This window comes from Homo sapiens, chromosome 1, assembly GCF_000001405.40.
Source record: "Homo sapiens chromosome 1, GRCh38.p14 Primary Assembly".
In the NCBI taxonomy this organism is placed as follows: domain Eukaryota; kingdom Metazoa; phylum Chordata; class Mammalia; order Primates; family Hominidae; genus Homo; species Homo sapiens.
Window position 1 is genome coordinate 42,594,402 of NC_000001.11, and position 15,977 is coordinate 42,610,378.

The window sequence follows — 15,977 nt, forward strand, 5'->3', positions numbered from 1 at the left end:
TACATGGGAGGCTGAGGTGGGAGGATTGCTTGAGCCCAGGAGGTCAAGGCTTCAGTGAGCTGTGTTTGTGTCACTGCACTGCAGCCTGGGTGACAGAGTGAGACCTCAAGTGAAAAAAGAAAAAGCTTAATTAGAAGCCAGGAACTTATAATTAAGCAAGTGCCTATAGTACTAGCTGCTTAGAAGCCTGAGGCAGAAGGATTGCTTGTGGCCAGAAGTTCAAGGCTCAGTATGCTATGATTGCATATGTGAATAGCCCCTGTATTCCTGTCTGGGCAACATAGCCAGACCTCATTTCTTAAATTAAAACATCATGGTCTTCTGCTCTGAATAAAATAAAAAAGAAATGAAAATTTTAAAAATTAAAACAAAAAATTATAAAGTTAACTACCAGTAATACAATAGCATGCATTTTGCTAATGGGTATTGGCCTAAGAAGCCACTCCCAATTTCATCTCTTGGTCCCTTTTCATGTATTCTGGCTAGGGGAGAAATAATATCATATATCAATCACAGTTAAAAGTTTATACATCATCTTGTAAGACAACACTTCAAACCTATGAAGTGTTGTCACCTGGCCAGCATCATAGCTAAGTCTTCCGTAGGTAATTTCGCTGTTTTTTTTTTTCAGATTGGTTTTTCTGCATGATAGGATATACGGTAGAACCAATGAGTCATATGATTATATGAGCCATTGTTTCACTTTTCTTGCTATAAAGTGATTTTCTTGGTCAGAAGCAATATTTTTTTTTATTACTACAAGTCTAGATCCGAGTTATATATCATGACGAGAAATAAGGAATTTGGTAAGTCCACAAATGGTGGTCCTGGCAAAAGCGTTATGGACAGAAAAAGTAAATCCAGGCCAGGCGTGGTGGCTCACGCCTGCCATCCCAGCACTTTGGAAGCCCAAGGCGGGCGGATCACTTGAGGTCAGGAATTCGAGACCAGCCTGGCCAACATGGTGAAATCCCCTCTCTACTAAAAATACAAAAATTAGCCAGGTGTGGTGGCACATGCCTGTAATTCCAGCTACTTGGGAGGCTGAGGCAGGAGAATCGCTTGAGCCTGGGAGGTGAAGGTTGCAGTGAGCTGAGATTGCGCCACTGCATTCCAGCCTGGGTGACAGAGCAAGACTCTGTCTCAAAAAGAGAAAAAAAGAAAAAGAAAAACAAAAGATAAAGCAAATCCATATTTATAATAAGTGTCTAGTCCACTGAGAGCAAATTGTCATTCTATCCACGATACTGATGATAGAAAGGTAATGAACCTGCTACCAGGTTGCTTGCTGGTTCTCCCAGGAGATGGTGCCATATTACTTGCTCAGCATTTATATTGGGATCTTGGGGTTTGGCAAATTAAGTGGATTAGCCTTAGTGACTCCCTGAAAAATATATATTCCTGCTATCATGCACCTTGTCCATGAGCCCTCTAAGCAGGCAAATGGGTGCTAGAAAGAGGCTAAATGACATGTACAGAAAGCACTATTTGTTCCGTCTGATTATTGAGAGATGCCTCTGGTGCGAATGCAAAAACATGTGAAACAGACTTCTACGTTCTGATCCAGCATGTAAGAAGCTTGGAAGTTGTCACTGTGTCCTGACAACAAGTGAAATGCCAAACAAACTGAAAAATCAACACATTTCCCTAGATCCTTCAGAGAAGAGAGGTCACAGTCCAAACCGCTACCCCGAAAATTAGAGATACCTATAGACAAATACAGATAATCACAACTTACTGGAGCAAAACCTTCATGAGGACCAGTGCCCAGGTATGGAAACCTGAACTGTAAATGATGAATTGCTGGAGGCTCAGTGTATCAAGTCTGAGAGAGAGAAACTCCAGAGGGACCCAGTCATTAGGGGACTTAGACACATTTGTGAGTTTTACCTCCTGTAGCATACCAGGTTCTTGTGAATATCTGAGAAAAATCCCCTTTTGCTTCCAGAACGGGGAGAAAAGGGGAACATTTGAAACTTCCTAACAGGGTCTGCCGGCAGGAGAAACTATTTAACCAGAGCCTAAGCTGTTGGGGTTTTGTCAGAGTCTAACAGACCTAGCGGAATAGAAATATCCAACTCCAGCCAACTCTAGCCATCTCGTCCCACAAAAGGGAGGTGGGTGGAGAAAAAAAAAACTAGCACGTGTGAAATTTACAGTCCAGGGGCACAGGCTTACTAAAAGACTGTACCTAATCATAGAGCTATAGAATGCCACCCATCCACCCCAACACTTCACCACCACATCACTAACGGCCCATTTAACAGCAGTTTCCTCTACTCACTGCATCATGTTTCGCTATCAAGAAAAAATTACAAGACACGCTAAAAGGCAAAAAAACAAACAAACAAACAAACAAAAACAGTTTGAACAGACAGAGCAAGCATTAGAACCAGGCTCAGATACAGCAGGAATATTGAAATTATCAGACCAGAAATTGAAAATAACTGTGATTAATGTGCTAAGGGCTCTAAGGAATAAAGTAGACCACATGCAGGAAGAGATGGGCAATGCAAGCAGAGAGAGGGAAATCCTAAGAAAGAACCACATAGAAATTCCGTTACAGTGTTTTTGATTTTTAAGTAAAGATCAAAAACACTGTAACAGAAATGAATACCTTGGTGGGCTTATTAATAGACTGCATACAACTGAGGAAAGAGCTCTGTCCTTGAGGACATCTGAATAGAAATCTACAAAACTGAAAAGCAAACAAAAAAATACTAAAACAAAAACAACAGAATATCTAAGATCTGTGGGATAAATGTAAGGGGTATGATAGATACATATAGATACATATGGGAAATAACCAAAGGAGAAGAAATAGAGAAAGGAACAGAAGACATATTTGAAATAATAATCATGATTGAGAATTTCCTGAGATTAATGACAGACACCAAACCAGAGATCCAGGAAGCTCAGAGAACATCAAGCAGGATAAATGCCCAAAAAACTACATCTAGGCATAAAATTTTCAAATGACAGAAAATCAAAGAGAAAGAAAAATCCTGAAAGAGGAAAAAATAAACAACCTTACTCAGAGAGGAACAAAGATAAGAATTACTTCCAGCTTTTCTTCAGAAACCATGAAAGCAAGAGAAGAGTGGAGTGAAATATTTAAAGTGTTGAGGCCGGGCACAGTGGTTCACACCTGTAATCCCAGCACTTTGAGAAGCCAAGACAGAAAGATCACTTGAGATCAGCCTGGGCAACATGGTGAAACCCCATCCCTACAAAAAAAAAAAGTTTTTTAATTAGCTGGGTATGGTGGTGCACACCTGTGGTCCCAGCTGAGTGGCCCTAGAGTTTATAATATACAACTAACCCAAGTCCACTTTCAAATAACACTATACCACTTCAGGAGGCTGAGGGAGGAGGATCACTTGAGCCCAGGAGGTCTAGGCGGCAGTGAGTTGTGATCATGCCACTGCATTCCAGCCTAGGGGACAAAGCAAGAATCTGCCTTAAAAAAAAAATCGCCAGGCACAGTGGCTCACACCTGTAATCCCAGCACTTTGGGAGGCTGAGGCGGGAGGATCACTTAAGGCCAGGAGTTCAAGACCAGCCTGAGCAACATAGTGAGACTCCAGTCTCTACAAAAAATGGAAAAAAGAAAACCTTAGCCAGGTGTGGTGGAGCACCACCTGCAGTCCCAACTACTTGGGAGGTTGAGGTGGGAGGATCGCTTGAGCCCAGGAGTTCAAGGCTGCAGGAACCATGATTGTGCCACTGCATTCTGGCCTGTGAAATAAATACATAAATAGTAAAGTATTAAGAGAAAAAATTACCAACCTAGAATTCTGTACCTTGCAAAATTATCCTTCAAAGGTGAGGGAAGCTGGGCATGGTGGCTCATACCTGTAATCCCAGCACTTTGGGAGGCTGAGGCAGGAGGATCTCTTGAGCGAAGGAGTTCAAGATCAGTCTGGGCAACATAGTGATAACCTTATCTCTACAAAAAATATATATATTAGCTGGATGTGGTGGCATGCATCTCTAATTTCAGCTACTGGGGGTGGCGGTGGGGGTGGGGACTGGGAGTGGGTTAAGGTGGAAGGAATTTTTGAGCCCAGAAGGTTGAAGCTGCAATGAGCTGATGCAATAAGAAAGGAGGGACAATGGAATTATATAAAATGCTCTATTAAAATTACAAAAGGCAGAAAAAGCATGGAAGACAAAAGTAGCAACAAAGAACAAGAACAACTAATAGAAAACCATAATAAATATGGTAGATATAAATCAAATTATATTAATAATCACTTTAGACATCAATGGTTTAAATGTACCAATTAAAAGAGAATGTCAAAGTTGGTCATGCCACTGCACTTCAGCCAGGGTGACAGAGTGAGACCCTGTCTCAAAAAAAAAAGTAAAGGTGAGGGCCAGGTGTGGTGGCTCACACCTGTAATCCCAGTACTTTGGGAGGCCAAGACAGGAGGATCGCTTGAGACCAGGAGTTTGAGACCAACCTGGGCAACATAGTGAGACTCTGTCTCAACAACAACAACAAAAATTGTTTCTAAGTGAAGGAGAAATACTTTCTCAGACAAAAAAAATTAAGGGAATCTATTACCTTGCAAGAAATGTTAAAAGAAGTTCTTTAGAGAGAAGGGAAACAAAATATAGATCAGAAACCAGGATCTACATAAGGAAGGAAAAGCATTGGAGAATAAATTAGTGAAGGTAAAGTAAAAACTTTCATTTTTAAATTTTAGTTGATCTAAGAGATAAGTTGTTCAGCATAATAGCAACAATGTATTTGATTATGTGTGTCATATATAACTGTGTATAAATATATATACACACACATACATACACTTAGATATGCTTATGTGTAAGTGAAATTAATGACAGCAATGATATAAGGGACAAGAAGGAAGAATTAGGATTATCTTCTTATTATAAGGTACTCATACTACCTGTGAAGTAGTATAGTGTTATTTGAAAGTGGACTTGGGTTAGTTGTATGTTATAAATTCTAGAGCTACTAGAAAAAATAGAAAGAAGTACAACTGATACCCTAAGAAAGGAGGACAACAGAATCATATAAAATGCTCAATTAAAGTCACAAAAGGCATAAAAAGCATGGAAGACAAAAATAGCAACAAAGAACAACTAATAGAAAACAGTAATAAATATGGTAGATATCAATCCAATTATATTAATAATCACTTTAGACATCAATGGTTTAAATGCACCAATTAAAAAAGAATGTCCAAATTGGTCAAAGTTGAACAAAACCCAACTATATGTTGTCTACAAGAAGCCCACTTTAAATATAAAGACACATGTAAATTAAAAGTAAATGGATGGAGAAGGATGTAACATGCTAACATTAATCAAAAGAAAGTGAGAGTAGCTAAATTAATTTCAGACAGCACATACTTCAGAGTAAGGGAAGTGTATTAGTCTGTTCTCATGCTGCTATAAAGACATACCTGCGACTGGGTAATCTATAAAGAAAAGAGATTTAATTGATTCACCATTCTACATGGCTGGGGAGGCTTCAGGATACTTACAATTATGGCAGAAGGTAAAGGGGAAGCAAGGCACATCTTACATGGCTGGAGAAGGAAGAGAGAGTGAGGCAGGAGGTGCTAAACACTTTCGAACAACTGGATCTTGTGAGAACTCTATCACCAGACAGCACTAGGGGCATGGAGCTAAACCATTAGAAACCACCCCCATGATCCAATCACCTTCCACCAGGCCCCACCTTCAACACTCGGGATCACAATTCAACATGAGATTTGGGTGGGGACAGAGAGTCAAATCATATCAGGAACTTATCCAGGATAAAGAGGAACATTATTTAATGATTAAAAAGGTCAATTCTCCAAGAAGAAAAAACAATCTTTAATATGTATGTGCCTAAAAAAAGAATGTCAAAATATGTGAGGCAAAAATTGATACAACTGCAAGGAGGAGTAGGTGAAATTCACTGTTATCATTGCAGATTTTAATACCCCTCTATCAGCAGTGGACAGGTCCAGCAGGCAGAAAATCAGTGAGGACATAGTTGAACTCCACACCACCATAAACCAGCCAGATATAGTGGATATCTATAGACTACTTCACCCAACAACAGCAGATTACACATTCTTCTCAAGCTCTCATGGAATGTTAATCAAGAGAGACCACATTCTGGGCCATAAAACACAAATTAACAAACATGAAAGAATAGAAATCATGCAATGTATGCTCTCAGACCCTGATATGGTTTGGCTCTGTGTCCCCACCCAAATCTCATGTTGACTTGTGATCCCAAGTGTTGGAGGAGGGGCCTTGTGGGAGGTGATTGGATCATCGGGGTAGTTTCTGATGGTTTAGCACCATACCCCTAGTGCTGTCTCATGATAGAGTTCTCACAAGATCTGGTTGTTTGAAAGTGTATAACATTTCCCCCTGTGCTCTCTCTCTCTCTCTCTCTCACTCTTGCTCTCTCCCTCCCTCCCTCCTTCTTTCTCTCTCTCTCCCCCACTCACTGTGGTAAGACATGTCTTGCTTCCCCTTCACCTTCCGCCGTGATTGTAAGTTTCCTGAGGCCTCCCAGCCATACTTCCTGTATAGCTTGTGGAACTGCAAGTCAATTAAATCTCATTTCTTCATAAATTACCCAGTCTCAGGTATTTCCTTATAGTTGTGTGAGAACGGACTAATACAGACCCTAATGGAATTAAACTAGAAATCAGTAACAGAAAGATAGCTGGAAAACTCCCAAATACTTGGAGATTAAACAACAGACTTGTAAACACAAAAGTCAAAGAAGAAATCGCAAGAGAAATTTCAAAATATTTTGAACTAAATGAAAGTGAAGATACAACTTATCAAAATTTGTTGGAAAGTGGTTCTTTGAAGGACATTTATAGCATTGAATGCATATATTAGAAGAGAAGAAAGACGGGAAGCATTGGTGAGTGTCTGAAGGGAGAAAAACCCCTGAAGGCAGCTTGAAACAAAGAGAGGGGATTGGGACTAACAACCCCAGCCCACAAAATCGTGCTATTTATCTCAGCCAAAGGAGATGCAAAACCAGAGTGGCTGTTCTGCACCACCATGCTGTATGAGGCAGAGTCCATGAGTCTTCTGGGCATGAACCCCTAGCTAACCTTCCCACATAGCCAGGGCATCCCATTTTGGGACACCCCTAACCACAATCCAGGATGGGCAGCACTGCAAATGTTTTGGAGAACTGAGGCAAACCTTGGCTTAAGGCACCCATCTAGTCCTGAAAAGGAGGCAGTGACCTAGAGTAAAGGGGATTCAACAGGTGAACTGCAAAGAACCTGTAAGCAAACACACCCTAGAAAGACAAAAAGAAGCCAGCCAGCAAAGACTGGAATAAATAACTAATCCTTCAATGTGAAGACAAAGATGTAAGCCCAAAGGAACAACAGCAAACAGGAAACCATGACTTCCCCAAACAGACAAAGCAAGGAGACCGTGACCAGCCCTAACAAGATGGCGATGTGTGAGGTTTTGGATCAAGAATTCAAAATGGCAGTTTTAAGGAAATTCAGTGAATTCCAAGATAACACAGAAAAGAAATTCAGAAATTCATCAGATAAATTCAACAAATATATTGAAAATTTTTTAAATCAAACAGAAATCCTAGAACTGTGAGAAATGCATTTGCTGAACTGAAAAATGGACTAAAGGCTCTTGACAGCAGAATGGATAAAGTAGAAGAATCAGTGAGCTCAAGACAGGGTATTTGAAAATATACAGAGGAGGAAAAAAATATCTAAAATCAATTATCTAAGCTTTGGCCTTAGAAAATTACAAAAAGAAGAGCAAATTAAATCCAAAGTAAGCTGAAAAAAAAAGAAATAATAAAAATTACAGGAGAAATCAATGAAATTATCTAACATGGTGGTGTTTGTGTAAAAAAAAAATTTTGAAGAAATCAATGAAATTTAAATGGGTATTCAATAGAATAACAAAACTAAAAACTGGCTCTTTGAAAAGATTAATAAAATTGATAGGCCTCTAGCCAGGCTAACAAAAAAAAAGAGGGAGAGAGGACATAAGTTACAAATTACAAATAACAGAAATGAAAAGAGGGAACATTACTACAGATGCCACGAACATTAGAGCAATCATCAATAAATATTATGAACAACTTTATGCCCACAAATGTGATAACCTAAATAAAATGGACCAATTCCTTGATATAGTCTGCCAAAATTCACACAAGAAGAAATAGACAATTGAATAGAACTATATCTATTAAAGAAATTGAATCCACATACTAACCTTCTAAAACAGAAAGCACCAGGCCCAGATGGTTTCACTGGTGATTTCTACCAAACATTTAAGAATAGATTATATCAATTCTCTGTAGTCTCTTTAGGAGATGGAAGCAGAGGGAATACTCCCTAATTAATTCTATGAGGCTGGAATTCCCTTCATACCAAAACCAAAGACATTATAAGAAAAGTACAGACCAGTATCTCTCACGTAGATATAAAAATCCTCAGCAAAATATTAGCAAACCATATCCAACAATGTATACAAAGAATTATGCACCATGATCAAGTGATTTATCTCAGGTATGCAAAACTGGTTCAACATTTGAAAATAAATTATGTAACTCATCGCATCAACAAGCTAAAAAGGAAAATCACATGATTCTATCTATTGATGCTATCTTAGTCTGTTTATGCTGCTATAACAAAATACCTTAGGCTGGGTAATTTATAAACAACAGAAATTTATTTCTTCCAGTCCTAGAGGTTGGGAAGTCTAAGATCAGGATGCCAGCAGTATTGGTGTCTGATGATGTCTGCTGTCTGCTTCCAATGGCACTTTGTTGCTGCACCCTCTGGAGGGGAGGAACTCTTTGTCTTCACATAGTGGAAAGGATAAAAGGGTAAGAGGATGCTCCCTTCAACTGGGAGCCCTTTTATAAGGATGCTAATTCCATTCATGAGGACAGAGCCCTCATGACTTAATCACCTCCCAAAGGCTATACCTCTTAATATTGGTGCATTGGGAGTTATGTTTCAATAGGAATTTTGGAGGGAACACCATCATTCAAACCATGGCAAATGCGTAAAAAGGATTTGACAAAATCCAACATCCATTCACTATAAATGCTGTCAGTAAACTGGAAATATGGGAAACTTCCACATCATGTGTCATCAGGGAAATACAAATTAAAACAACAATGAGATACTACTACATACCTATTAGAATGAACCAAAATCCAGAGCACTGACAACACCAAATGCTGGCAAGCATATGAAGCAATATCTTTGCATTCATTTATTGCTGGTGGGAATGCAGAATGGCGCTGTCACTTTGGAAGACAGTTTGCTGGTTTTCACAAAACTAAATGTACTCTTACCATATGATCCAGAAACCATGCTCCTTGGTATTTACCCAAAGGAGTTGAAAAAGTTATGCCTACCCAAAACCCTGCATACAGATGTTTATAGCATCTTTATTCATAACTGCCAAAACTTGGAAGCAAGAAAAATGTCTTTCTTTGGACACCACTAAAAACTTGTAGCCCTCACTTAATAAGTGGTTTGAAGGGACACGCATAGTGGCTCACACCTGTAATTCTAGGACTTTAGAAGGCTGAGGTGGGAGGATTGCTTGAGGCCAGAAGTTTGAGACCAACCTGAGCAACATAGTAAGACCCTGTCTCTCCAATTTTTTTTTAATTAGCTGGGTGGTACATGCCTGTAGTCCTAGCTACTTGGGAGGCTGAGGTGGGAGGATCACTTGAGCCTAGGAATTTGAGGCTGCACTGAGCTGTGACTGCACCACTGCACCCCACCCCAGCATGGGCAACAAGAGCAAGACCCACGCTCTAAAAAATAATAATGCCAGCAAAGAATGGTTTGTTAATTTTAGAAAGGCATTTGAGAGTGAGATTCTGTCTTTTAAAAAATTAAATGAGTTGAAGGAACAAATGTGGTATATGTTGATTCCAGAATCTAAAGAGGCAACTCCAAGCACTTGGCCTTTTCTTCCATCAATAGCCCTCACTCCTCAGGTTGAAAGCCAGTATGGAGAGTCTGCTATCCCAGATTATCTATTCTGACTATACATTCAAGAATTAGGGAAATAACCACTGAGGAGATTCAGAAACATACATGTAGCCATTGAATCACTGCGGACGTGTCCTAAGATACACTGTGATTTTAAACTCCATTTTTCACCTCATTTCCTTAAGGTCCACACCTCGAATTGTGAAATTCAATGGTGTTTTGGGTTCCAAGCTATTAGTGTTGACTCAGAATCACTGTACTGCTGTTCGCCAAAAGTCTATATAATTCCCTTTCTCCAATGCCCAGTCCCCTTGATAAGAGGCTACAGGTCCTCTTAGGGGAATGTTTGGAAGAAGATCACATACTTGTGTCAGTATCACAGGGTTTTTCCTGAAGAAAACCTGGCATGCTCATCATTCAAAGGACTCTGGATCTGTGAGCTGACCCAGGCCTAGGGATTGAACAAGAAGAGGCCATTACTTTCCATTCTTGTCATTTAAATTGGGCCTTTGTTCACCAGACCTAAGGGGTTCTATTTATTTATTTACTTACTTCTTTGTTTGAAAATACATTTCAGGTAAGACTTTAATTGGCTGCCTGTATATTTTAGTCCTACAGTCATTGTCATCAACTAACTATGACAAGATAGCTATAGGTCAAACCCTTTGATTGTATCTCTGGCCCAATTTCCTACTAACATTAATAATACTTACCTTGTATCTGAAAGTTAAGCACTGCCGCTTGACCTCTGACACTGTGTAGTACCATCATCCCCATTAAAATCAGGGAGCCATTTCAGTGTTGGCACCTCCACCATTATCCTCAATAGGTTAGCATTATATAGCATTTCAAGTAATTTGGTGCTTTTTCACCAGTGTTATTTGGTAAAGCCTTGGTGAGGGGAGTATCTTTTGGATTCCCATGGTTATGAAGAGTAACTATAAACCCACCCCAAATTTCCTATCTGCTTAAACCTTTGGATGCCTTTTTCTCCCTTATGCCAAAGAAGTTTGGCACCTTAATATCATTTAATATAAGTCACTTGTGTGTCCAAGTTTCAGTCAATCAAAAGAGCAAACAAAGTCATTATTTTTTTTCAGACAGGGTCTCACTCTGTCGCCCAGGCTGGAGTGCAGTAGTGCCATCATGGCTCACTGTAGCCTCAACTGCCTGGGCTTAAGTCATCCTCTCACCGCAGTCTCCCAAGTAGCTGGGACTACAGGCATATGCAACCATGCCTGGCTATTTTATTATTATTATTATTGCATGTAGAGACAGAGTTTCAATATGTTGCCCAGGCTGGTCTTGAACTCCTGGGCTCAAGTGATCCACCTGCCTCGGCCTCCCAAAATGCTTGGATTACAAGCATGAGCCACTGCACCTGGCCCAAAGTCACTCTTAGATGTTCAAATTAACACATTAAATCCTGAATGTCCAATAAGTGTATTCATATTAATAAATTCAGCCTATTTAACATTACACTTGACTGTGAACAACATGGGTTTGAACTGTGTTGGTCCACTTGTATGCAGATTCTTTTGGAAAATTTTCTGGAGATTTGCCAGAATTTAAAAAAACTTGCAGATGAGCCACATAGCTTAGAAACATTGAAAAAGTTAGGCACGTTGTGAAAGCGTATATGTAGATACTATTTTATCTTTACTCCATAAAGTATACCTAACTCTATTATAAAGTTAACATTTATGAAAACACACACACAAACACTTACAGACCATACATAGCGTCATTTGCAGTTGAGAGAAAGGTAAACAAATGTAAAGATGCAGTATTAAATCATAACTGCATAAAATTAACTATAGTACACACTGTACTGCTGTAATAATTTCATAGCCACTGCATTTTGGTATTGCAGTAAGTTTATTTATTTATTTGTTTTGAGACAGATTCTCACTCTGTTGCCGAGCTGGAGTGCAGTGGTGCGCTCTCAGCTCACTGCAACCTCTGCTTCCCGGGTTCAAATGATTCTCCCGTTTCAGACTCCCTAGTAGCTGTGATTACAGGCATCTGCTACCACACCTGGCTAATTTTTGTACTTTTAGTAGAGGTGAGGTTTCACCATGTTGGCCAGGCTTGTCTCGAACTCCTGACCTCAAGTGATCCACCCGCCTCGGCCTGCAGCGAGCTCACATGTTGCAAGTATCCTCTTAAAATGCCATGTGACACCAATCTTCTTTGCATGAGCAGGTTCCTCTGGCCAGTAAATTTTGTGTTGAATTAAAAAGAAATCTCTCGTGGGTCTCAAGTATTTTTCACTGTGTTTAGTGCAATACCATAAACCTTAAATTACAGCATGGGACTCATACAAAGTAGCCACTAGTGACGTCGGAAATGCTGCCAAGAAACAAAGAAAAATTATGACATTACAATAAAAAGCTGAATTGCTTCATAGGTACCATAGATGAAGTCTGCAACTGTGGTTTCTCAACATTTCAAGATAAATGAATCCACCATGAGGACCGTTATAAAAAAAGAAAAGCAAATTCATGAAGCTGTTGCTGCAGCTGTGCTAGCAGGCGTAAAAACCATGCACTTTTTGTGAAATACCTTTTTATCCATATTGAAAATGCAGCTTTTATGTTGGTGCAGGATTACTATAAGAAGGGCATATCTATAGATTCTAATATGACTCAAGAAAAAGAGAAGTCATTATATGACAATTTAAACCAAAAGGAAAGTGAAGAATTTAAAGTTGGAGAATTTAAAGCTAGCAAAGTAGCAGCTACTAGGGAAGCCGAGGTGGAAGGATCACTTGAGACCAGGAGTTTGAGGCTACAGTGAGTTATGATTGCACCTTTGTACTCTGGCCTGGGCAACAGAGAAAGACCCAATCTCTAAAAAATAATAATGCCAGCAAAAGATGGTTTGTTAATTTTAGGAAGAGGTTTAGCTTTAAAAAGGGTGGTTTGTTAATTTTAGGAAGAGGTTTAGCTTTAAAAATGTCAAGAAAACAGGAGATGCAGTTTCTGCTGACAGAGACAGCAGGTGAGTTCCCAGATGCCGTTAAGAAGATAATTGTGACCAGGCACAGTGGCTCACTCCTGTAATCCCAACATTTTGGAAGGCTGAGGCAGGAGGATCACTTGAGGCCAGGAGTTCGAGATCAGCCTGGGCAACATAGCAAGAACTTGTCTCTATAAAAAAAAAAAAAAAAAAGAAAGGAAGGAAGAAAATCATTGAGGAAATAGGATATCTGCTGAACAGTTTTTGAATGTGGGTGAAAGTGCCCTGTTCTGGGAAAAAAAAAAATCACAAAGGACATGTATTAGTAAGGAAAATCAGTGAACACGGATTTAAAGCAGAAAGGGATATCTATGAAGCTTCTAATCCCCAAGCCTTGAAGGGAAAAGGTAAACACCAGCTGTCAGTCATTTCATTGTATAAAAAGAAGGTCTGCACAACAGGAACTCTTTTTTTAGATTGATTCCATCTATGCTTTCTGCCTGAAGTCAAGAAGTACCTTGGTAACAAGGGACTGCCTTTTAAGGTTCTTTTGATGTTGGACAAATGCCCCTGGCCACCCAGAACCACATGAGTTCAACACCAAAGATGTTGAAGTGGTCTACTTGCCCCCAAACACCATGTCTGTAATCCAGCCTCTAGACCAGGGATCATACGGCCCTTTAAGGCTCATTACCATGTCTGTAATTCAGCCCCAAACACCATGTCTGTAATTCAGCCTCTAGACCAGGGGTCATAAGGCCCTTTAAGGCTCATTACCATGTCTGTAATTCAGCCCCAAACACCATGTCTGTAATTCAGCCTCTATATCAGGGGTCATAAGGCCCTTTAAGGCTCATCACACACGGTACTCTATGGAAAGGATTGTCAACTATGGAAGAGAACCCCGATAGAGAGAGAAGTCTGGAAGGATTGCACTGTTGAAGATGCCATCATTGTTTTTGTTTGTTTTGATTTTTGTCATTTTTAGTTTATGTGGCAAGTGACAGGCACGGACATGCCATCATTGTTATAGAAAAAGCTGTGAAAGCCATCAAGTCTGGCCGGGCACTGTGGCTCACGCCTGTGATCCCAGCACTTTGGGAGGCCGAGGCGGGCGGATCACGAGGTCAGGAGATCGAGACCACCCTGGCTAACACCGTGAAACCCGTCTCTAGTAAAAATACAAAAAAAAATTAGCCGGACGTGGCGGTGGGCGCCTGGGTAGTCCCAGCTACTCGGGAGGCTGAGGCGGGAGAATGGCGTGAACCCGGGAGGCGGAACTTGCCGTGAGCCGAGATCGCGCCACTGCCCTCCAGCCTGGGCGACAGACAGAGCGCGACTCCGTCTCTCTGTCTCAAAAAAAAAAAAAAAAAAAAAAAAGATATGAATCTTGGAGAAATTCAAGAGCAAATAGACACCACATCCAGAGGAGGAATTACCATAAGACAACTTGATGGAGATTAGCACTTTCAAACCAGTGCCACATGATGAGGAAGAAAACAGAAAAAGCAGTACTAGAAAACAAATTGACCTTAGACAATCTGGCAGAAGGATTCCAAATATTCAAGACTGCTTTTGACAGATTTTACAATATGGACATTTCTATGTGATACAGGCACTGAAACTAACACAAACAATGAAAGAAGGATTTGTACTGTATAGAAATATTTTTAGGGAAATGAAAAAGCAAAAAAGTCAAATTACAGTGTATTTCTGTAAAGTTATACTGAGTGTCCCTGCCTTTCCTGCCTTCCCTTCCACCTTCTCCACCTCTTCCAGCTCTGCCACCCCTGAGATAACAAGACCAATTTCTCCTCTTCTCCTCCTCCTCAACCTACTCAACATGAAGACAATGAGGATGAAAAATTTTGTGATGATCCACTTCTACTTAATGAATAGTAAATATATTTTCTCTACCTTATCGTTTTCTTAATAAAATTTTATTTTCTCTAGTTTACTTTATTGCAAGAGTACAATACATGATACACATACAAAATATGTGTTAACTGCTTATGTTGTTGATAAGGCCTCTAGTTAACAGTAGGCTATTAGTAATTTGGTGGGGAGTCAAAAAAATCATAATGCAGATTTTCAACTGTGTGGGGGGTCAGTGCCCCTAACTCTCATGTTGTTCAGGGGTTAGGGGCACTGATTAGTGTAACTCCCTACAAATACATTCCTGAATATAGTCCTAGAGTTTTTGCCAATTTAAGTTGGCAAAATCTTGCCATTCTTTCAATATGGCAGTCCCAAAGTCAGTCCCTACACTTAACCCCAACTAACCATGGTGTGCTGGGATCCAACTGTAGTTACAGGATTGGAGACAATGAGAAGTGGTGGTGGTATAGAGGTGGGCCTCGAGGACTATAGGCATCCCCTTACAAGGTAAGTGCCTTGGGTGAAATCAATACAGAATCTTCAAACTTAATCTCCTTAGACAGGAGTGGAGGGAGTGCTTGTGATGGCAAGAGAGGCACTGTAATTCTCAGGTTTCCACGCATTCCCAAAGCCTGTTTCTCACATAAGAGACCTAGCAAGCCTGTGAAATCAATTAGTGCTGTAATTCTGCAGTCCACTTGATATTTGGGATTTGGTTTTTGGATATATCGGTCTTCTGACTACAAGAGAGAAATTATTTTAGGACACTCATAGAAGATCTGTGGTTCTCAGACAATGCCTTGTTCCAGTAATTAAATCCCCAAGTTGGACATTTTCTTCTAAGCTCAGTAACATGATCAGATGTGGCTAGCCCACCTCACAATCCTTGTAGTCCTCAATTCCATTATAACATTTTTTATACCACTCATGTGGTCTTCCAAAGTACTTCATTACCAGCAACTATAAGTGATAATCAATTCTTTTGCCATAGATTGCTAGAACTAGTGACAAGACTATATCACCTTCAAAGCTAGCCAAGTCAGATAACCAATCCCAAATTCCTAATTTTGAGTTTCTCATCACTGCAGTCACTTATAGAACCAAATATTTTATCAGAGTTAATTAACTGAAGAGAACAGC

At 39.9% G+C, this 15,977-nt stretch overlaps 1 protein-coding gene and 1 long non-coding RNA gene across 12 annotated transcripts in view; one reads left to right on the plus strand and one right to left on the minus strand.

Moving 5' to 3' along the window:
- CCDC30 (coiled-coil domain containing 30) overlaps positions 1–15,977 on the plus strand; it is a 201,084-nt gene that overhangs the window by 138,295 nt on the left and 46,812 nt on the right. The gene's annotated exons all lie outside the window — the stretch shown is intronic.
- The window catches only part of LOC124904162 (uncharacterized), a 104,986-nt gene that overhangs the window by 23,581 nt on the left and 65,428 nt on the right, over positions 1–15,977 (minus strand). The gene's annotated exons all lie outside the window — the stretch shown is intronic.